Here is a 24751-nt window from a genome sequence, read left to right on the forward strand (position 1 = left end):
GGGTGGTGGGTCTCTAACTGTAGTGTGCATCAGAGTCACTGGGGGCACTTGTGAAAATAATGTATGTTCCTGGGGTCCAGATCCTACTAATTCAGTTGGTCTGGGTGTGGCCCAGACTTTGACTTTTTAGCAGGCTTCTCAGGAGCTCCTGCTGTGCTCTGTCCTCAGACCACCCCCAGGCTTTGAAGCCAGGCTCATTGGATTGAAGCCCGCCCCGCCCACCTCCCTTGCTGGTTACATAACCCTGGATTTCTGTAAAACAAGCCTTTAGGCGGTTGCCTCCCACTGCCCTCATCTTCTGTCTTTTCCTCTGGCACACTTGGCATCAACTGTGTGTTATTTGCAGTTCCCCCCACCTCCTACCCCACTCAGTTCTCCCATCATAGTGGTTTGGCCTAGAATGCCCTATTCCACCAACCATGCACACCTCTCAACTGCCTGGTTCCCTCATAAAACCAGATGAGGCTGGCCGGGCACGGTGTCTCATGCCTGTAATCCCAGCACTTTGGGAAGCCAAGGTGGGCAGATCACAAGGTCAAGAGATCGAGACCATCCTGGCCAACATGGTGAAACCCCGTCTCTACTAAAAATACAAAAAAAAATTAGCTGGGCATAGTGGCGCGCGCCTGTAGTCCCAGCTACTCGGTAGGCTGAGGCAGGAGAATCGCTTGAACCTGGGAGGCAGAGGTTGCAGTGAGCCAAGATTGCGCCACTGTACTCCAGCCTGGTGACAGAGTGAGACTCTGTCTCAAACACACACACACACACACACACCCCAGATGAGAAGTTGCTGCCTCCGGGAAGTTTCCCTTGACGTGTCCGTGCCCCACGCCTTTGCTTCCAGATTGCCTTGGACTTAACACGTGTTCCTTATCAGCTGGCTGCTGTCCTTTGACTTCCACCAGATGGTGTGCTTCCTGGAGGCACAGGTTCTGTCTTTCATTAAGACCTGACCCATCTCAGGACATGTAAGTGCTCAATCAGCAAACGCTAAATGTATTAACTGGGTATGGGCTATTCTGGCTTGAGATCTGGGATCCAAGATAGGGATGGGCAAGGGGCACTCTGGAAGCTCCACATGTGTGAGTGCAGCAGTCTTAACACAGTGGTACAGGTGTCTCTGTAGCCAGCATAGATGGGCTGTGTAGGTTCCTTGAAGGGTTTTAGGAGCCCTCAGCACATGCGGGTGGTATGTGTGCATATGTAGGAAGGAAAGGCGGTGAGCTAGTCTAGACCATGGGCAAAGGCAATTTGTTCAAGGTGCTTTTACTTGAGTTTACTTCAAAAGCAGTAAAGGAGCAGACTGTAAATGAGACAGGAACGCAGGTGAGTGGATACACAAAGCTAAGTGGTCTGTGTAGTGTGCCTAGTGTGGGATGGAGCATGCATAGCATGGGGTGTCTGCCAAGTCAGAAGAGCACAGAGCTGTGGCCTGGCTCTCTTTTATACCCGCAGCCCTGTCAGTACCTAGAAACGACCTCCACTACCATGCCACATGTAACCTACGCTCTGGCAACACCCACATATTTCTAGATCAGACCTCCTCCCTGGATCTTGGATTCATTTACCCAACTGCCTACTTGCTTTCTCCATTTGGATGTCTAAAGACATCTCAAATTGAATATCTCCAAAACCGAGCTTCTGATGTGCTCCACCCCACCCCAAACAGGCCCAACCATAGTCACCTCATCTCTGTAAAAGGTAATTCGTGTCTTTCCAGGCACTCAGGCCAAATACCTTTGAGTCATCCTTGTCTCTCTCTCATCCTGTTTGCACCCTACCTTCAAAATAAATCCAGAATCCCACCCCTTTTCACCACCTCCACTATTATCAGTGAGGTTTTCCCTGGCCATACCCTATTTCAAATTGCTATCCTAGCACGCTACATTCACCTGGGGAACTGAAAAAATCCTGATGCCCAGGCTTTACCCAAACCAGTTAAATCAGAATTTAATGTGGGACTCACAGAGTCTCCAAGTGACACCAATGTGTAGCCAAGCTTAAGAACTTGGTCTTATTTTTAAAGTAGTATGAAAACTTACTGTCTCTCCTAAGCATTCTAACAATGGATACTTTTCAGAATAAGATTGTGTAAAACAGAGAACTCACTTTTAACTTTATAACAATTTATGTATTGTTTGTCTTTTTAAAACAAAAGTATATGTTGAGTTTATAATAAAAGTAAAAATTTGGGCCGGGCGTCGTGGCTCACACCACTCCCAGCACTTTGGGAAGCCGAGGTGGGTGGATCATTTGAGGTCAGGAGTTCGAGACCAGCCTAGCCAACATGGTGAAACCCCGCTTCTACTAAAAATACAAAAATTAGCCAGGCGTGGTGGCGGGTGCCTATAGTCCCAGCTACTCGGGAGGCTGAGGCAGGAGAATCACTTGAACCCAGGAAGTGGAGGTTGCAGTGAGCCGAGATCAGGCCACTGCACTCCAGCCTGGGCGACAGAGTGAGACTCCATCTTGAATAATAATAATAATAAAATAATAATTTGATGAAGACTTAATTAAATCAAATAGGCATCTGGGAGGTCTGGCCCCAGGTCTTCCCCCAGACTGAAGGGTGACCACAGGTGAGCCCTTTCAATATCTGGGCCTTGGACTCCCGCTGAGGTGAAAGTGACCGGGTAGCCTGTTGGAGCCAGCCCTGTCCCATAGGCTATGGGTCTCAGGGTCCTCTTTCCCAATAGCACTTCAGCTCACTTGAGGTCTTTTCTGAGCTGGTCATGCCCACCAGGCAGATGGCAAGGCAGGGCACAGAAGCTGCTGAGCTCCATGGTGCCAAGGGCTGAGCTCCATGAGCCAGGGCTGGGAGGCTGGAACTTATACCTGCAGAAAAAGAAGAGTCCCTGTTTCCACAGGACAAAGGAAATATCTTGTTTTTGATTTCTTGGAAGAGGAAGCACTCTGGGCAAGAGGTATGAGCCGGGATGAAGTGGACTCCTTGTCTGGAGGTGGTGCTACACACCTTGGAGGGGCTCCTGGGAGCTACTGAGAATGTCCCCTAAGTCAGTATTCCTGCCTCAGCTGAAATGCCAGTCTTCAGCCTCATCTACTGCACACTTGAGTCCATGAGATTTTAGAGTGGTAAGTGACCTTTGGGGTCTCAGTTTTCCTATCTGTAAAGGGAGTGGGCTGGACAATGAACAGCTGTTCTCCATTCTTTTGTTATTGGTTCCCATCCAGAGCCTCCCAGCTAGTTGTCTCAACATCCCAGGGGAGAAAGCATAGCTCTTTGTCCATTGGTTTATTTATTCAATTTAGGAATAATGAGTGTATTGTTTTATATGAATAACCATACTTATTTAAAAGATCAAACTAAACTAAATAGTACAAACAAGCGAAATCTCTCCCCAAAGTCTACTATGGTGCTGTGCAACAGAAATATAATACAAGCCACAAATCGAATTTTCAATTTCCTAGTAGCTTTTTTAAAAAGTAAAAAGAGGGGCCAGGCACAGTGGCTCAGCCTGTAATCCCAGCACTTTGGGAGGCTGAGGTGGGCAGGATCACCTGAGCTCGGGAAGTTGAGGCTAATAGTGGGCTGAGATTGTGCCACTGCACTCCAGCCTGGGTGACAGGGAAGGAGACCCTGTCTCAAAAAAAAAAAAAAAAGAAAGGAAAAACAGGTAAAATTAATTTGATGATAGTTTATTTGAGTACAGTATATATATCATTTCAATATATAATTAATATGAAATAAAAACTAATGCAATATTTTACTTTTCTTTATATTAAGTCTTTGAAATCTGATGTGTACTTTAAACATTTATAGCATATAACAACTAATATTAGCCATAACTCATGTGCTCAATAGTTGCATGTGGTCAGTGGCTACCATATTGGACATTGATGCTCTACCATATAAAGCAACTATCAGTAACTTCAGGATAACCTCATCAACATTTTGTTAGATTGATTAACAAAAATAATTCTACAAAAATGAAGAGTTTATGGATATTGTTTTCCCTGAATTTTTGCATATTTTCTTAATACCTGAAGGACAATTTTATGGGGTAATATTTTAAAAAATAATTTGACTTTTTTTTTCCTCTTTCTAGGCTATTGAGATTTATTTATTTATTTATTTATTTAAGATGGAGTCTCTGTCGCCCAGGCTGGAGTGCAGTGGTGCAATCTTGGCTCACTGCAACCTCTGCCTCCTGGGTTCAAGTGATTCTCTCACCTCAGCCTCCCGAGTAGCTGGGATGACAGGCACGCACCACCATGCCTGGCTAATTTTTGTATTTTTAGTAGAGGCGGGGTTTCACCACGTTAACCAGGCTGGTCTCAAACTCCTGACCTCAAGTGATTTACCCACCTCAGCCAACCAAAGTGCTGACATTATAGGTGTGAGCCACCGCACCTGGCCCAGGCTATTGGTACTTACTATCCCCAACTTTTATTCTATGCTAGTAATTTGATTTGTAGCTCTGACTTGTTTCTTCCTTGAGATTTTCAATTTATTTGCAGTTTTTTTAGTGGTGTTACCTAGATCTTCAATTTATTTCTTTAACACTCATTTTTAAGGGTCTTTTAAATTTTTATTTATTTTAAAATATTTATTTATTTATTTATTTATTTTTAGAAATGAAATCTTGTTATGTTGTCCAGGGTGGTCTTCAACACCTAGCCTCAAGCAATCCTCCCACCTTGGCCTCCCAAAGCACTGGGATTACAGGTGTGAACACTGAACCACTGAACCCAGCCTAATGTCTTATTTTATTAAAGTTTTTGTTTTTTAAGCTGAAAGCCCTCCTATAAATTTTTCCTTTTATCAGATTTTCTGCTGAATTCAGTTATCTGTGTCTGTTTCTTTTCTCCAGCGTCCTTTCCTTTTTAATTTTCTTCTTTTTTTCCTTTCTTCCCTCCCTCCCTGCTTTATTTTCTTTCTTCCTTATAACTGTATGTAGTATGGTGCATAGCTACTCTGTCATTTCCCTTCATCTTCGTCAGGCTCAGTTTGGGCAACTCTGCCCTGTCCTTTCGCTTATTCTAATTGGTGTCAGTATATTCTCTTTGGTTTCCTTCTCACCATATCTGAGATCTATTGTTATTTCCATCCCTACCCCCCAAATTGCAGTCTGAAGTTTGCCTCTATACACTTCTGTGGAGCCTAAAGTCATGGGGTTGAGGGAAGAAAGGAATGCTATTGGAGATGTCTCTTGACTATGATGGGCAGCCTGGGCTCTGCTCTCTGGAGATTTTCTTAAATTCCTGGAACCACAGTTGGCTTCCTCTAGTGACGTGTTATTCCATTTTTGAGAAAGTTTCCCTGGAGCTTTGGATCAGCCAACCAATTAGAAATTTGAGCCTTGGGGAATGGCAAACCTTGGTGGGCTTTTTATCTCTGTGGAGACCCCAAGAGCTTGGGTGGGACTTGAATTTTCTGGGGATGCATCTTGACTTTTTGCATGCAGTTCTCTAACACTCCTCCCCAAAACTCATATTAAAATTTAATCCCTAATGTGGCAGTACTGAGAGGTGGGGTCTTTAAGAGGTGATTGGGTCATGAATGGATTAATCCATTCACAGATAAATGGATTAATGGATTATCATAGGAGTGGGACTGGTGACTTTATAAGAGGAAAACACATAGTTTAGCATGCTCAGCCCCCTCACCATGTGATGTCCTGAACTGCCTCAGGACTCTGCAGAGGGTCCCCACAACAAGAAGGCTTTCACCAGGTGCATCCCCTTGACCTTGGGCTTCCCAGCCTACAGAACTGTAAGAAATAAATTTGGTTTTTAATAAATTACCCAGTTTCAGGTATTCTGTTAAGACACAGGACAAGAAGGCTACTCAGTTGCAAGCAAGAGCCATTTCTTATGGAAAAGGAAGTGTGAGTCAGAGTGGAGCCAAGAACCTCTGGCAACAGGTGCACAATTCAATTTCAGAATTGCCGGGGCTCAGTGATTGCTCTGAACTTCCCCTTTTAAAACGGTAGTGAACATAGTGGTTTCCTGTGCCAATCTCGCCATTGCAGGTTGGGTGCATGTGAGGCAGAAAACATGTCTCTTTAGTTCACAGGTTTTCAGATGGAGAGAAACTCTACCCACGGAACAGAACCCAAGACGCCTCTTTGCAGCTGGACTTGATGTAGATAAGCTCCAGAAATTGGAGCTGAGTTTGATGTCAAAATAGGATGAGGTGTTTGTTTGTTTGTTTGTTTGTTTGTTTGGTTTTAAGACAAACTCACTCTGTCACCCAGGCTGGAGTGTAGTGGTGTGATCACGGCTCACTGCAGTTTTGACTTTCCAGGCTCAAGCAATCCTCCCACCTCAGCCTTTTGAGTAGCTGGGACTACTACAGGTTTGTGGCACCGTGATTGGCTAATTTTTTATTTTTTATAGAGATAGGGTCTTGCTATGTTGCCCAGGCTGGTCTCGAACTCCTGGATACAAGTGTTCCTCCCACCTCAGTCTCCCAAAGTGCTGGGATTACAGTCATGAACCACTGCATCTGGCCAAGATTTTTTTTTTTTTTTTTTTTTTTTTTTTTTTTAGTGGGAAGTAGGGCAGTGGGGGTAGGTGGGGACGGGTCTTGGAGGAAGTTATATTTTACATATAGGAAAATTTTAACTAATCTGTCTCAGTTTAAAAACATGTCTGCAATTTTTCTGGCACTTGTCCCATTGAGAATTGGGGTCAATCCCCTTTTTGAATCTGGGCTGACCTTGCCGACTCCATCATGATCAGTAGAATGCAGTGGAAGAGATACTGTGTGATTTCTGAGGCTAGGTCAAAAAAGGCTGTCCTTCCATCTTGCACTCTTGGGATGCTGGCTCTGGGTGATGCTGATGTCCATGTGAAAAGTCTGACTACCCAGAGGCCACTGCTGAAAAGAACACATGCAGTGGACACCGGCCAACAGTTCCAGCTGAGTTTAGCCTTTTAGTTTAGCCTTTCTGCCAAGGCCCTAGACATGTGATTGAAGCCATCCTGGGTCCTCCAGCCCAGCCCAGCCCAGCTGGGTACCACAGAATGACCTCAGACATGGCCACAAGGAGCAAAAGAATTCCCCAACTAAGCCCCGCCTGAATTCCAGACCTACAGAATCCACGTGCATCAGAAAAGAGTTGTTGTTTTGTGCCACTAAGTATGGATCCTGGTAGGCAACTCACTGGAACAACTGGTGAGAATTTTCAGGACTTTTGTATTATTTCCTCTTTCTCCTGCACCTCTTCTGGAACAGAGCAGTTGGGGATAGGACCATGACGAAACACATCAAGATATTCTATATTTTTCTGTTGCTACTGCTTTTTGAAGTTTATGGAATGAGGTTCTACTGTTTCCCATGGTGGTTTACTGCTGCTGATTTTTTTTTTTTTACCTGTTTTTTTTTTTTCTCCTATCCAATTCAATAGAAACCAGAGAATGAACATTCTATTGTGAAACTATCCTGCCATCTGCACTTTACTCAGTGATATGGTTTGGATTTGTGTTGCCACCCAAATCTCATGTCAAATTGTAATCCCCAATATTGGAGGTGGGGCCTGGTGGGAGCTGGTTGGATCATGGGGGTGGATTTCCCCCTTTCTGTTCTCCTGATAGTGAGATCTCATGATACTTGGTTGTTTAAAAGTGTGTGGCACCTCCCCCCTCTCTCTTTCGCCCACTCCTGCCATGTAAGACATGTCTGCTTCCCCTTTGCCTTCCACCATGATTGAAAGTTTCTTGAGGCCTCCCCAGCTATGCTACCTGTACAGCTGGCAGAACCGTGAGCCAATTAAACCTCTTCTTTATAAATTACCCAGTCTCGGGTAGTTGTTTTTTTTTTGAGACGGAGTTTTGCTGTTGTTGCCCAGGCTGGAGTGCAATGGCGCGATCTCAGCTCACCGCAACCTCCGCCTCCCGGGTTCAAGCGATTCTCCTGCCTCACCCTCCCAAGTAGCTGGGATTACAGGCATGCACCACCACCCTGGCTAGTTTTGTATTTTTTTTTTTAGTAGAGACAGGGTTTCTCCATGTTGGTCAGGCTGATCTTGAACTCCCGACCTCAGGTGATCCGCCCGCCCCGGTCTCCCAAAGTGCTGGGATTACAGGCATGAGCCACTGCACCCGGCCATTTTTTGTTTGTTTGTTTTGTTTTTTTGTGTTTTTTTTTGAGACACAGTTTCACTCTTGTTGCTCAGGCTGAAGTGTAATGGCGCGATCTCAGCTCACTGCAACCTCTAACTCCCGGGCTCAAGTGATTCTCTTGCTTCAGCCTCCAGAGTAGCTGGGATTACAGGCATGTGCCACCACACCCAGCTAATTTTGTATTTTTAGTAGATGTGGGGTTTTTCCATGTTGGTCAGGCTGGTCTCGAACACCCGACCTCAGGTGATCTGCCCTCCTCGGCCTCCCAAAGCGCTGAGATTACAGGCGTGAGCCACCACTCCTGGTGTCAGGTAGTTCTTTATAGCAGTGGGAGAATGGACTAATACACCCAGAAGTCTATGTTTTAAATGAAAACTTAATTTTAAATAGTACAAAAATATTTGTAAGGTTTTTTATTTTCTTAATCATAAAAAGAACATAAGAGATTAAATAGGTGATATTAAAGAAAGAAAAAGAACGCCCATGTTCTTACAACACTAATACAATACCTGTGAACATTTTGTTTCTCTTTCCCCTACATAGCATTATTTTTTGTCTGTTGATTGAATTCCCTCCCCTCCCAAAGTTTTTTTTTTTTTTTTTGTATTAAGCCAAACCACAAATAAGTATCATTTATGTTAGATGCCGTGCTAGGTGCTGCTGATACAACTGAGAATATGTCAGATACAGCCCCAGCCCTTTTTGATTTAGAGTCTAGCTGGTGAGGTCATTTACCAAATAATGATGCATAATCATTCCATAAATACAAATGATGGTGTTATGAAGATAAAAAGAGGGTGCTCAGAAAGAACTAAGGGGGTACAATTTATTTTATTTTAGAAATTCTTTTAGATTCAGAAAGTACGTGTGCAGGTTTGTTGCACGGGTGTATTGCATGATGCTGAGGTTTGGGCTTCCAACGATCCCGTCGCCCAAGCAGTGAATATAGTACCCAACAGGTAGTTTTTCAACTTTTGCTCTCCTCCATCCCCCCTTCTGGAATCCTTAGTGTTTATTGCTCACATCTTTGTGTCCTTGTGGGGATGCAATTTAGATTGAGGCTCAGGGACAGCTTCTGTGAGAAAGTGACCTTTAGGCTGAGCAGAAGGAGGTGGCAGGAATGTGGAGGGAAGACAATCCAGGTGACGGGAACAGCTCCGAGGTGGGGAAGAGCTCCCAGTGATGGAAGAGGCAGCTTTGTGGCCAGAGCTGGTCAGCATGGGAGAGAGTGACACAAGGGCCTGAAAGAGGACCCGTGTGGCCATGGTAAGCCCATTGGTGATGAAGCCAGGGGCACCAGGTGGACCTGGTAAAGGAGGACAGATTTCACATTCACAAGAATCAGAATCTACTGAACGCTTTTAGGCGGGTGGAGACACGATCAGCTTCATTCACTTCCTTCCCCCATACAGTATTTACTTTTCACTGAGGTGTGATATAATGTATCCAGAAAAAAGTGCAGAAATGTATAACCCAGTGAATTTTATAGAACATTACCAGCATCCTAAAAGCACCCCTTCCACTCATTCCCCTAGAGTAACCACTATCTTGACTTCCAACTATTTGCCTGTTTTTGTACTTTCCATGTAAACGCGGTCATCCAGCAGGTGCTGTTTTCTATCTGGGTTTTTAACTCAACGCTATGTTTATGATGTTCATCCGTTCATTACATGTAGTTGTAGATCATATTTCCTTCTTTAAAAGATCACACTGGCTGTAGCATGAAGAATGAGCAATTTCAAAATTAAGCAAAATATTAAACAGCTAAGAATGGAAATAAAATTCAAGTCAATTTCAAAAAGAAACACAGGGACAGATTTTGCCAGATACCTGGTACAGATTTTGCCAGACATATGGTACATTTTGTTCGTTACTATATCTCCAGAATTTTCCTACCTCTTTCTCCAAATAGAGAATATTTAAAAGTTTTCTTAAAAACCCTGATATATAACATTTGCAATGTTCTCTACAGTTTGCAAAGTGTTTTCCTAATGATTTTCTGCTTTGATCCTGCAAAATCTTATGAATGCCAGTACCATTTCCCTTTTACAGAAGAAGAAACTGGCTCAAGAAGATGAGACATGATGCTTTGTAGCCGAGGAATTGCCTCAGGTGTCACCATCCCCGTCCCTGCGAATTGGAATTTCAGGCGGGGGCGAGCTGCTGGCTCTGCCGGCAAACTCGCCTTATCCCACGCCGCCGAAGGGTCCAAGCTTTCCAGCTGCGTAACACGACCAGGCCCCGAGCGCTCTGGCCCGGGGGCAGATACTTTCGGTTTGCAGCTCTCAGGGCAGCGCTGCCCTGGGACGCCCAGTGGGTTTTCACGGCTCCCCTGGGTCTGGGATCAGGGCAGCTCCGCCTAAGGGCGCGGCCCAATCTGAGGGTTCGTCGCCCCCGCGTGGTCAGACGTGGGAATGGCAGCTTCTGAAGCTCTATGTGTGGTGCCTTTCTGGGGCTCACCAGGTGCCATGTTGCGTGGGACCATGAAACTGTGGTGGTCTTGTCTCTGCCACAAGATAATGTAGGCTTGGGCCTCAAGATAATGTCGGCATGGTGTCCCATCTTTGGCATGAGTCCTACCCTTTCCAAGTGCAGTGGTGGCTGATTCAGTGGTGGCTCCCAGGGATATGATAGGCAAAGGGGGTTCGGTCTCTGCTGTCTGAAATTAATCCTGGGCTCAAGAGAGAGGGGCGCAGGTGAGGCCTGGGGCTCTTCATGCCTGATTTCCCGCTACCCCTCTGGCTTCCTCCAATTCCTACATCCAAGTTAACTCTGAGACCTGTGGTTACCAAGAAGACAGTCGATGTGGGGGAAGGGCAAAACCAAGTACCTACTATAGCTACAAGGAATAATATAAAGGAATTGTTCCATTTTGTATATTGGTATCATCAGCTTCTTGAGAAGCCTTTTGGGTAATTTATTGTAAAAATCACTACTTTAAAGACAAAAATCCTTAATTTTAAATGCTACAAAATTTAAGAGCTCGTTTGAGTTGATGCAGGACCCACAGTTCCCTATAGGGCGATCACTGATGAGTGTATGTGAGCTAAACGCACAGGAGCTTATTCTCGAGAGTTCTCAGGAATTCTCCGGAATTATGAGAAGCATATCAACCGCTTCATCGGGGGGGCTCCACTTGGCATTTTACAGGGAGAGTTGGGCAGTTCCCTTCTCAAGGCAAACAGATCTTACAGTGGCGTTTATTCAGATAAATATGAGAGCCGTGTGGGACTGGCTGTATGATGACGGGGATATCCTCCCACTGAATATGCCTATTACCCAGGTCATGGTAAATCTGGGGGTTTAGGGGGCCCCTTTTACATGGGTGCCCCTCCCACAGAATCATACAACTGTTTGAGAAGGCTTCTCAACTTGTCATCCGTCATGGGTCTTACAGATGCCACTCCCTGCTGGGAACCAGAAAAGGTAAAATGGTCTGGAGGTAGGAAAAAAAAGTTCCTAGGACCAGAACATAAAACATACAGGTTAATAGAATTATGAAATTTAAGATGTTTAAAAAGGCTTTATGTAAGGTACTTGCAACCCCTTTACCTAAATATCTTATGAAAATGGGTATTGTACAAAAATTAGCTATAGCATGTTTTCAGGTAAAGTTCCAGCAAAGCAACTAAAAAGGGGCCTATATAGCCAATCATTCCCTGCTGCATTTTATGCAATAATCAGGTCAAGTATATAAGACTAAAACTCACTTTGCACACAAATTAGTCTTACTGTAATTTCTCTTTAATAGATAAAAAGGGGCTAGAGAAAGAGAAATTGTTTCAAAGGAAAAGTGTAACATTTGATACTAGATTTTAGCCCTCAATTTTTTTTTGAGTGCAGATTGAATCATGCATTATTTCTTGGCTACAATAATCCTCTGGAGAGTACCAGATTATAATTTTTCTTCATATCTTTAGTTGGTGCCCTAATGGATGGAATAGGTTCTTTTTTTTTTTTTTTCAGATGGAGTTTTGCTCTTGTTGCCCAGGCTGGAGTGCAATGGTGCGATCTCGGCTCTCTGCAACCTCCGCCTCTTGGGTTCAAGCGATTCTCCTGCCTCAGCCTCCCAAGTAGCTGGGATTACAGATGCCTGCCACCATGTCCAGCTAATTTTTGTATTTTTAGTAGAGACAGGGTTTCACCATGTTGGCCAGGCTGGTCTTGAACTCCTGACCTCAAGTGATCCACCTGCCTCGGCCTCCTGAAGTGCTGGAATTACAGACGTGAGCCACCGGCCCACAAATACCCTTTGATTGTCAAAACATTAATGTTATTATCTCTCCTTGTTTTACTTTCAAGGAAGCCCAAATCATGGTATTCTGAACACCAGAGATGTCAATCTCCCTCATTTGTCATCTCACTGGGCCGGATCTGTTTTTCACTGCAGATGCCCTGCTGCTAAAACTATACAAGCATCCTCCCTCTAGGTCCAGTGACTGTCATGGAAGAGGCGGGTGCGTGAGATTGTAAGGGCCAGTTTTGAGGGATAGAGTTAGGTCAAGGTCAGACCCTCCAAATCAAGGAAGGGTACAAAGATGCCTAAACAGCTGGTAAAACAAGGGACTTTGTCTTCTAAGCTATTATGTATCACTTTTGCATCCACCCCAACAATAAACAATTTTCTGCTTCATGTAGAATTAAAATATTTACTGACAGGATAAAGATGCCTTGTGACAAAGCCTCCTGGGTATAATATTCCCAGTTATAAGTTGTAAAGATATATATACATATATATATATATATATATATATATATATATATATATATATATATAAATCTTTTACAGAGCAATGCTTATGTTTTTGTATAGCTAATTGCTGTAAGTCTGTAATTAAAACCAAGTTTACAGTAGCTGAATACATAGGAGTTAAAGACAAGTTAGTTTTTGCCTTTTTGTTTGTTAGCTTTTTACTTAAAATAGCAATAATAATTTTAAAGAGTAATGAATGCCTGTCCATGTCCATTTCCATCTGGCCTGTAACATTTGATTGGCTGTAAGTCTCCTTTTTTTTTTTTTTTTTTTAAGACGGAGTTTTGCTCTTGTCACCTAGGCTGGAGTGCAATGGCGTGATCTTGGCTCACTGCAACCTCCACCTCCTGGGTTCAGGCGATTTTCCTGCCTCAGCCTCCCAAGTAGCTGGGATTACAGGCACCTGCCACCATGCCTCGCTAATTTTTTGTATTTTTAGTAGAGACGGGATTTCACCATGTTGGCCAGGCTGGTCTCGAACTCCTGACCTTACGTGGTCCACCCACCTCGGCCTCCCAAAGTGCTGGGATTACAGGCGTGAGCCACCTTGCCCAGCCAGCTGTAAGTCTTTTGACTCTTGGTCCCTTATCCATAGGGAATCCCATCGAGGGACAAGATGGACCAGGGGCAGGCCGCCATGGCATCCCAGAAACACTATGGGACATAATGAAGATTTGCTGGCCATTGATGTTGCCTCTGGCAATTCTTGGCCAGAAGTGGGAGAATGTAAACCAAAAATAAAATTCTAAGCTCCCCTCATCCCCCACCCCCGCACCACAACCATCTAAATGAGCTTCCTCCTTGGCCAGGGCACTCCTAAAATTTAACCTGAAAGACTGATTCAGGCCATGACAGGAAGTGGGGGTCGGGCATGCCTCATTATACTCTCCAGTGTTAACATCAACAGAGACCTTAAGCCCAATAAGAATCATGTACATTCTATTCTCTCTGAAGCCTGCTACCTGGAAGCTCCATCCTCCGACTCCAGTTGTCCCACCTTTCTGGACCAAACCAACGTATTTCTTAAATGTACTTGATTGAAGTCTCCTGTCTTGCTGTACCCCAACCATGTTGGGCACACATTCTCAGGATCTCCTGAGGGCTGTGTCATGGGCCATGGTTACTCATATTTGGCTCAGAATAAATCTCTTCAAATATTTACAGAGTTTAACTCTTTCCATGGACATGGGGGAGCACCTGTTGGAGACACAGCATCTCATCCCCCAGACCTGCTGAATCAGAATCTGCATTTCAAGAAGATCCCCAGGCAGTTCGCAGGCATGTGCACATTTATGTTGACAAAAAGAGTCCAACTCTGTCAAATATTTGAAGAGATCTATTCTGAGTCAAATATGAGTGACCAATGGCCTGTGACACGGCCCCAAGAGACCCTGAGAACATGTGCCCAAGGTGATCAGGCTATAGCTTGGCTTTATACAGCTTAGGGAGACATAAGACATCAATCAATACAAGTAAGATGTACATTGGTTTGGTCCAGGAAAATGGGACAACTGGAAGCATGGGGTGGGGGCGCTTCCAGGTCATAGGTGGATTCAAATATTTTCTGATTGGTAATTGGTTGGGAGTTTATTTAAAGACCTGGAATCCACAGAAGGCATAGAAGGGAGTGTCTGGATTAAGATAAGGAGTCATAGAGACCAGCGTTCCTATTATGCAGATGAAGCCTCTAGGTAGCAGGCTTCAGAGACAATAGATGGTAAATGTTTCTTATCAGACTTAAAAAAGTGCCAGACTCTTAGTTAATTCTCACCTGAATCAGGCAAACAACCTGGAAAGGGAAGGGGATTCTCTACAGAATGTAGATTTTCCCCACAAGGGACAGTTTTGCAGGGCTATTTCAAAAATATGTCAAAAAATATATTTTAGGGTAAAATACTTTGATTTCTTTCAGGGCCTCTCTGACATGTGGTACTTACACCAGAGTGAGGCTGGAATTTGGTATCCTATTGCTAATCTGTTTTGTTAGTCTTAAGATCTCTGTTTTAATGTTACTGCTGGTCAGTTGTGCCTGAATTCCAAAGGGAGGGGAGTGCAACGTGGCGTGTCCAATCCCCCCTTCCCATCATGGCCTGAACTAGTTTTCCAGGTTTCTTTGGAATCTCCTTGGCTGAGACAGGGGCTCCATTCCATCAGTTGGGGGATTTAGAATTTTATTTTGGGTTTACAACAGTAAGCAAAATGCTTTCCTGAGTTCTGAGAGTCATTCTAGTGAGTTATCCAACTTGAGGGGCGATTGTGGAACACTAAAATTTGTATAGCCAATCAGTCAGAAGTGTGAGTGACCCCTGGAATTTGCGCTTGTATCTGAAGTGAGAGCAGGGTCTTGTGGGACTGAGCCCTTAACCTGTGAGGTCTGTGCTGTAAACCAGAAATAAAATTCTAAGCCCCCACCCATCTGAATGGACCCCTCCTCTTGGCCAAAGGCGTTCCAAGGTTAACCTGTAAAACTAGTTTAGGCCATGATGGAAAGGGGGAATTGGACATTAGCACTAACATAGACCTTAAGCTGATAAGCATTTACAACCTCTTCTCTCTGAAGCCTGCTAAAGTGGAGGCTTCATCTGCATGATGAAACCTTGGTCTCCACAACCCCTTACCTAACCCAGACATTCCTTTCTACTGATTCCAGATCTTTAGATAATAACCAATTGCCAATCAAAAAATCTTTGAATCCACCTGTGATCTGGAAGCCCCTCCCATCTTTCTGAACTCAACCATTGTACATCTTACATGTATTGATTGATGTCTTATGTCCCCCTAAAATGTATAAAATCAAGTTATAGGCCGACCACCTTGGGCCCACGTCATCAGGGCCTCCCCTGAGACTGTGCCACAGGCATGTCCTTAACCTTGGCAAAATAAACTCCAAAATTGAGACTTGTTTCAGATACTTTTGGTTTACAGTTCTAACTCAGGAGTGTCAGAAGTGAATTAATTTGTGAACACCTAGTTGGTGTTGGAGAATTTGTTGGTGTTGGAAAAGATACTGTTACCGGAAAGAGGTCCCAATCCAAACCCCAAAAGAGGGTTCTTGGACCTCGTGCAAGAAAGAATTCAGGGTGAGTCCATAGAGTAAAGTGAAAGCAAATTTATTAAGAAAGTAAAGGAATAAAAGAGTGGCTGCTCCATAGGCAGAACAGCCCCAAGGGCTGCTGGTTGGCTATTTTTTTCATTATTTCTTGATTATTTGCTAAACAAGGGGTGGATTATTCATGAGTTTTACGGGAAAGGGGTCAGCAGTTCCTGGAATTGAGGGTTCTTCCCCTTCTTAGATCATATAGGGTAACTTCTTGACATTATGATGGCATTTGTAAAGTGTCATGGTGCTGGTGGGAGTGTCTTTTAGCATGTTAATGCATTATAATTAGCATATCATGAGCAGTGAGGATAACTAGAGGTCACTTCTGTTGCCATCTTAGTTTTGGTGGGTTTTGGCAGGCTTCTTTACTGCAACCTATTTTATCAGCAAGGTCTTTGTGGCCTATACCTTGTACCGACCTCCTGTCTCACTCTGTGACTTAGAATGCCTAACCTCCTGGGAAAGCAGCCCAGCAGGTCTCAGCCTTATTTTACCCAGCTCCTATTCAAGATGGAGTCTCTCTGATTCAAACGCCTCTGACAATACCATGTATTTGGTGTTAGGAAAAAACTCTCCAGACTCACTCATCCCTGTTCTTTGGTGGCTAAGGGGAGAAATGAGTTTGGGTAGCTCCTCCCCAAGACCCTTACCAGTTATCTGCATTTTAAGAATTCTCTGGCTGGGTGCGGTGGCTCGCAGCTGTAATCCCAGCACTTTGGGAGGCCAAAGCAGGTGGATCAACTGAGGTCAGGAGTTTGAGACCAGCCTGGCCAACATGGTGAAACTCTGTCTCTACTGATAATATAAAAATTAGCCAGGCATAGTGGTGCATGCCTGTAATCCCAGCTACCTGGGAGACTGAGGCAGGAGAATAGCTTGAACCTAGGAGGCGGAGGTTGCAGTGAGCCAAGATCGTGCCATTGCACTCCAGCCTGGGTGACATAAGTGAAACTCCATCTCCAAAAAAAAAAAAAAAGGAATTCCCTATAGAAGCCAGATTCTTCAATGATTGAGTTGTGGCTTAATGGTAGCTTGTCCTGGCTCCAGCACTTACTAGCTGTGTGATCTTGAGTAAGTTACTTATTCTTAATTTCCTCATCTGTGCAGTGGGGATGCCTGCCACACAGATTCTTTACTCATTTTTTACTAAAATGTCTTATTCTCAAAGACTTTGTCTACCTACCTCCAAGTAAGAAAATCCGATATGAAATCATTATTTTATTTCCCCCTTCTAAGAATTAATCAGAAGGATCTAGAACAGCTTAACTGCCTGAGGCACCTGTAGGCAGAAAGCAAGAAACTTGTTCTGTATTCTGAGAGTTTGCTGGAGGTTTGCTCGAGGGCCAAGGTGTGCTTCTCCCAGGCTGTCAAGATATTAGTAATAACTCCAGGCCCTCACTTTCCTATGTCTCAACTATTATCCTCTCGAGATCTTTGAGTGTCTTCAGGCTGGTGAATCTCATAGCATGAGAGTGCTGCATGTTAGAGCTAGATTCCTAATAAGGAGGTGACCCATGGTCAAATACACATTTTTCTAAGGAACTTAATTATCCACATTCTATTCAATGACTGCAGCACCCCCCACTACCAGTGAGCATCAGGAGATTAATTTATTTGACAAATATTTGCCAAGTACCTACAAGGCATTGCTCTCCATAAGCCTCACTTCCTGTGGCTTTGCTGAGTTTCTAAGGTATCTCTGGCTTTGTGGTTCTGGGGTTGAACCACATGTGAGGTGAGGGTTGGGCATGGTGGCACCATCCTGGGCAACAAAGGAAGACTCCATCTCTTAAAAGACATCTAGGGTGATGGAGGAGTAGGGGAACTGAGGTCCTCTGCTCAGTCCTTGGGCTACTTTCTAAATTACACATTCTGATTGCCCTCTGCTCCTGCAGTGCCCACAGCCTTCCTCCCTCCTTCCATCTTCATGGGCTGAGGCCATTCCATTCATGGGCTGAGGCCATTCCAGAAGGAAGGTGAAGGAAGTGATGGGGGTTGAAGGGAGAGGCCCTGGGAGCCTGCAATAGCTGCAACTGGAAGGAATTGTAATCGCCCAATGGGTTCACCTTGCCCACTGCCTAGACAGAGCTGATTTCTCAAGACAGGGGAATTGCAATGGAGAAAGAGTAATTCATGCAGAGCCAGCTGTGTGGGAGACTGGAGTTTTATGATTGCTCAAATCAGTCTCCCCAAGTATCCCGGGATTGGAATTTTTAAAGATAATTTGGTGGGTAGGGGCTCGGGAAGTGGAGAGTGCTGATTGGTCAGGTTGGAGATGGAATCACAGGGGAATTGAAGTGAGGTTTTCTTGCTGTCTTCTGTTCCTGGGTGGGATTGCAGAACTGGTTGAGCCAGATTACTGGTCTGGGTGGTGTCAGCTGATCCATCAAGTGCAGGGTCTGCAAAATATCTCAAGCGCTGATCTTAGGTTTTACAATAGTGATGTTATCACCAGGAGCAATTTGGGGAGGTTCAAACTCTTGCTGCATGATTCCTAAACTGTAATTTCTAATTTTGTAGCTAATTAAGGCAGACTGTTACCCAGGTAAGAAGGAGGTATGTTTTGGAAAGGGCTAGTGTCAATTTTGTTTCAGTCAAACCATAAACTAAATTCCTTCCTAAGGTTAGTTCTGCCTACACCCAGGAATGAACAAGGACAGCTTAAAGGGTAGAGGCAAGATAGAGTTGGTTAGGTCTGATCTCTTTCAGTGTCATAATTTCCTCAGTTATAATTTTCACAAAGGCAGTTTCAGAATCATGCCATAAGTCCTCCACATTCCCCAAGTACCTGGCTTGTGCCGATCCCTTAGTCCACTTTTCTACCCTCTTCTCTTCCAGTCCCAATCCAACTGTGCTACAAAGCTCATATCCAGGTCCAACCCCTGAGAAACTTCTCTCGATCCCCTAGTTGGAAAAAATCATTCCCTCTTCTGACCTCCCATGTCGAGACCATTTATAACATGTTAGAACTCGATTCCTAACAAGGAGGTGCCCGATGATCAAATACACTTTTTTCCAGGGAACTTAATTATCCTCATTCTATTCAATGACTGCAGCACCATCCCCACCATCAATGAGCATGAGCAGATTAATTCATTTGACAAATATTTGCCAAGTACCTACAAGGCATCGTTCTCCATGAGCACATAGCTGTAAACAAAACACAGCAGCAAAGGACCCTACCCTCTAGGTGAGGCAGGCAATAGAAAAATAAGGAGATAATATGTGAGTCATGACAAGCATTTTGAAGACAAAATAGTGGAAGGGGATAAGGAGTAATGGGGGTAAAGGAGGTGCTGCTCTTTTATGTAGACCGGTCAAAGAGCAGAACCTGTAGAAAGTAAGTGAGCATCGTGACCAGCTGGGAGAAGAGCAATGCAGGAAGAAGACGCGGTTAGTGCAAAGGCCCCAGGAAGACTGTGCCTGATGTGTTTGAGCAGCAGCGATGAGGCCAGTGTGGCTGGGGCTGAGTGGGTGGGGTGGGAGAGTGTAAGATGATATGGTCAGAGAGGCTGTGGGGGCAAGCCTTGTAGGACTGTATAAAAACTTAGGCTTTGTAAGAGAGATGGGAAATCACAGGAACATCATGATCTGATTCAAATTGTCACAGGATCCCTCTGGCTGCAGTGTGGAGAGTGGCCTGTAGGGGACCAAGGGTGGAGACAGAGGGCCAGTGAGTAGGCTACTGCACCAGTCCAGGCAAACACTGAAGACCTGTGTATATGTGTTGTTCCCTCGGTCTGTCTCAGGTCTGTTGAATAGTAAGAATGCTTTGCTCTGTTGAAGATGATTCCGTTCTTTACATAAGTAATTAAATGTCTTTCCTTTGCTGTTTCCTGATACCTAAATGCAGTAATATATGCTCATGATAGAAAACTTAGAAAATAAAGAAAAGCATTAAACAATAAAGATTTCCAACTCCTACAACTCAAAGAAAACAGATAAATCATCCTACTTTAGAGGACTAAATGTACAGGAACTCATTGATTTGCTCATCAAAAGGTGAAGAGGGAAGAGTAGCAGCCCCAGGTAGAGCTACCCAGCAGGCGAGGCTGCCCTCAGGAACCACAGCCTTCCCTTTCCTAATGATTTCTACTCTGTGGCACCCACACTTCCCTCCTCAGGGCTCTGGTGTTATCCTCCTTCTGGGTCTCCATCATATCTGCTCTCAGCAAAAGATCCAGCTCATTCATCCAGCCCCAAGGGACAGGGCTTCACCTCCGGACAAGGGTGAGATGAATGAGGTCTTGGACACAGAATTTAAGAAGTCAAAAACCTCAGCCATCAAGATAAATCATATTAAAATGCAATGGTTTAAAAAATTAAAATTAATTTTAAAAGTCCATGAACAAAATATAAACATTTAAAATAAAGACAGGGTCCAACCTTGCACCTGCACAGTCCTGCCTTGCTCTCTGCACCCTAACCCAGCCCTGCTCAGCCCAAGAGCTTTGAATCTGAATACAAATCATTCCAGACTTCAAGATCAAGTTAAAGTGTTAATCGTCTACCAGAATGTGATTTCTAGCTTTAAAAAGAAAACCAAGAAAACAACTTCCACATCAATGCAAAGGTTTTCTCATTTCACCAGGTTTTTGTTTTCCGTCTGTTTACCTGATGGTTTACTAAAGAGGTGAAGAAGTCTGTGGCTGAATGAACACATTGAATAATTGCAGAGACTTAAATTCTCAAATATTCATAAAAATATTTTACCTTTTTTTTTTTTGAGATGAAGTCTCACTCTGTTGCCCAGGCTGTAGTGCAGTAGCATGATCTCGGCTCACTGCAACCTCCGCCTCCTTCAATTCTCCTGCCTCAGCCTCCTGAGTAGCTGGGACTACAGACACATGCCACCATACCTGGTTAATTTTTGTATTTTTAGTAGAGGCAGGGTTTCTCCATGTTGGTCAGGCTGGTCTCGAACTCCTGACCTCAGGTGATCCACCCACCTCGGCCTCCCAAAGTGTTCGGATTACAGGTGTGAGTCACCATGCTTGGCCATGCCGGTTGTTTCTGCTGCTTGCTGTGTAGACCGCTGTGATGACCATCTTCTTATTGACCCTCCTTTGTCTCTGGAGCCCCGCCACCTGCCTTCTACCTGGAGCCTTCCTTCCAGGTCCTTCTTCAACATCAGCTCCAGGATCTGCAAGATCTTTGGATATGGCCGCTGCAGAAGGAAGGAGAACCACTTCCTGGAGAAGCAGGAGTGAGCCAGGATCTGCCACACAAGAGAGCCGGGAACCCAGGGCATGGGTTAAGGCGAGGAGCAGGTCCGGAGGGAAGATCTGAGGCAAAGAGGTAGAGTTCACAGGTCCTACACCCCTCGCACCTACACAGTGTCCCTCCTCTGATGCTGAGGCTCTCTCTGCCTTCCGAGGAGAAAGTGGCGACGTGTCCTGTGAAACCGCAGACTTAACACATCTTCCAAAAGCCAGCTTGGCAGGAGGTCACTGCTAGAAGCACCTCTGAAATAATCTGAGCCGTCTTACCTGTTCCCCTTTTTCAGATGGGAACACTGAGGCAGCCACCCTGCAGAGTGAGTCTGCAGTGCTCCTGAGCCACCCCCCTCCAGGCTTGGCAAACTCACTGCCTTCTTGTCTGTTGCCTTGACTGCAGGGAGGACCAGAGGTGCTCATTTCTGGGAGGGTCTAGGATCTGCCAGCTGCACAGTGTCCAAGTCAAGGGCTTCAGCAACGACAATTAACAAATTCCTTTCTCTTTGCAGAGAGCCTGTCACCTGTGCTGCCTTGAGATGCTGACATCTGAGGATGCCCCAGACAGGGCCTGTGGCTGCTTTCTGAAATAGTGCAGCACCTTCTCTGCTTCCTCCTCAACCTTCTCCTTCACAGCAGAACCCTGCCTCCTTCCTCTCCCCACAGGCTTGTTTCAGCATTGATTTGATCAACTGAGCACCACGAGAACACAAACCACATTCCTTTGTTTTTTCATCACGTTACCCCCAGCACTTAGGACAGTGCCTGGCACAAAGGAGGTAGTCTGTAAATATTTGCGTAATGAATGAATAAAGGAGGGCATGAGTACATCTCCTCTGCCCAGCACGGATGACAGGCTGAGGGTTTGAATCCAGGACTCTCTCACCGTAGCCCTCATTCTCACTGCATCCTCACCTTCGTCCTCCACCCCCCACCCCCCCACTGGGTTCCTTGGGGATGGCAGGGGTGGAGTTCCTGGCATCCAGTTCTGAGCATCAGCTCTGCCAAGTAGTGGTGGCGGGGGGGTTTTCATGAAAGAATCCCCCTCGCTCCCTGTGATGTTGGACATTTTTCCTTGTCTGTGTAGTTTCAGGCTTTGTCTCTCTGGCCTTATACAATATTTAAAAACATTCATTTTCCAGTTAAACAAACTGGATTGGATACTGTTGTTTGCAACTAAGAACCTTAATATTGGGTGATCTTCCCAATATTTTGCAGAACAGCAGCATCACCGCTTTTCCTGCCATCAGACTGGGCCCTACCAGTTGTAAGAAGAAAACCCATTGCAACACCTACCTCTTAATGGCCACTCCAAGCTACACAAAAACCTGAGTGATGTTTCAACATTAAAGCCTTTTCTTTTTTTTTTTTTTTTTTTACTTTTGGGCCAGGTCAGATTGAGGGGTAGGTTGTTCTCCTGGTCTCTCTGAAGGAGAAGGGAAGGAGCATGAGGGTCAATTGTCTGCTTATCTAAGAAATCCCCTTCCCTGAAGTTGTGTGTGTGTGTGTGTATCTCTGTATGTGTGTTGTAGGGTGGTGGTGGTGGTTTGTTATTTCAGTTACAGCAATAACAACTACCCATTTAGTGGACACCGACCATGTACCAGGCTCCATGCTTAGCCTTTTACACGCATTATTTCATTTAATTCCCAAGAATCCTGTGAAGGAGGGTGCATTATGGTCCCCAGTTTACAGAGGGGGATATGGAGGCACGGTGATGTCACGTAACTGCCATATTGTTTTCCTGGGGCAACTAGAACAAAGGACTACAGACTGACTGGTTTAAACAACTGCAATTTACCCTCTTAAATTCTGGAGGCCAGAAGTGTGAGATCAGGGTGTCCACAGGGCTGCGTTTGCTCTGAAGAAGCTGGGGAAGGATCTGTTCCAGGCCTCTCTCCTGGCTTCTGGAAGCTCCTTGACTTGTGGTCACATAAATCCAGTCTTCACATAGTGTTCTCCCGTCTGTCCCCTTTTTAAGGACACCAGTTGTATTGGATTAGGGCCCACACTGATGACCTCATCTTAACTTGATTACCTTTGTAAAGAGCCCATCTCCAAATAAGGTCACATTTGGAGGGACCTGGGGGTTACGACTCCAAGTAGCTTTTTTGGGAGGACACAGTTCAACCCATAACAGCTGATAAATGGCAGAACCCAGGCATATGTGACAGACCCAAAGGCTTTGTCCTTTGGGAGGAAGATTGTGTAAATTAGAGCCCAGACTTTCCAGCCAGGCTATAAAAGTCCTAATTCTGGGTTTGTCTGAATTTGGGAATTTGGGGATCTAAGAAGCAGCTTATTAGGTAAGGTGGGCGTGGGGGTGAGAAAGGGTGAGGCATCAAGCCCCCCATCACTGTTTGTGACTGAGCTTAATCCCATTGGGAATGCTGGGAGCAGGGCCAGACAATTCCTCGCAGCAGCTATCACCCCCTTTCCCTAGGAGAGCAAGTGTTTATGCACCAGTGGAGATATTCAGGCACCAGTCTCCATATGGACTGAGGGTTTCCGGCTGATCTGGGCCTGGGCCCTCCTTGTGTGGCTTCCAAGGAAGCCCTCAGGCAAAGAGATGCAGACACTAGCACTTGGAAATCAGCTGGTGGCACCGAAGGAGTCAGGTCCGGGGTAAGGGTAGGGCACATATCTTCTGCCACACTCTGTATGTGGCTTTGAACAAGTGATTTAACTTGTAGGTGTGCTCTGTACCTGTCTTCTCCCTGTGTGGGGTTGTTGTGTAGCTAAGTGAATTAACACATGCTGAGCCCTTGGACCATGTAATGACTGCAACTTAAACATTAACTATGATTATTATTGACTAAATGATACTGCCCCCTACTGGAAAATGTGTGACCCGGACATCACTTAGAAACTAGTGCTGGATGGCATTTGGGAGGGAATCTGATCCAACTTCCTCATTTCACAGATGAGGAATTCAGACCTAAGAAAGGGAAGTATGTTGCCCAATGTCACACAGCTAACATATATAATCATTATAATAGACAACCCAGGCAGCCTCATTCACTTGTTCATTCATTCACTCTCATGTGTGTGTATATATGTATATAATTATATACATATATAAAACAGACATGTATATAGCATATATTATGTGTATATAATATACATATTTTATATATTTATACATATTATTTCTATTAATATATAATTACATATACACATGTGTATATGCACATATGTATATAATTATATACATATGCATATAATATATATTATACATGCACATACACATGTATATAATTATATACATATATATGCATATATACACACACATATGTATCACTAGTGTTTGTAAGTGATATCCGGGTCACTCATTTTCCAGTAGGGAATAGTATAATTATATACATATATGTGCACATATATACATAATACATATGTTTTTAGAGACTGGGTATTGCTCTGTCACCCAGGCTGGAGTGCAGTGGTGCAATCATTGCTCATTGTAACCTCGAACTCCTGGCCTCAAGCAATCCTCCTGTCTCAGCTTCCCCAGTAGCTGGAACTACAGATATGTGCCACCATGCTCAGCTAATTTTTTAACTTTTTGTAGAAACAGGGTCTCTCCATGCTGCTCAGGCT

The 24751-nt window shown here is 44.6% G+C and overlaps 1 long non-coding RNA gene across 1 annotated transcript; it reads left to right on the top strand.

The window, feature by feature from the left end:
* Positions 845-22004, top strand: LOC105372631 (uncharacterized). The gene is made up of 4 exons (NR_159957.1): positions 845-968; positions 2868-3093; positions 21020-21239; positions 21667-22004. It is a non-coding gene; the product is annotated as an uncharacterized LOC105372631 (long non-coding RNA).
* Positions 22005-24751: the final 2747 nt, after the last annotated feature.

This window comes from Homo sapiens, chromosome 20, assembly GCF_000001405.40.
Source record: "Homo sapiens chromosome 20, GRCh38.p14 Primary Assembly".
Taxonomy (NCBI): domain Eukaryota; kingdom Metazoa; phylum Chordata; class Mammalia; order Primates; family Hominidae; genus Homo; species Homo sapiens.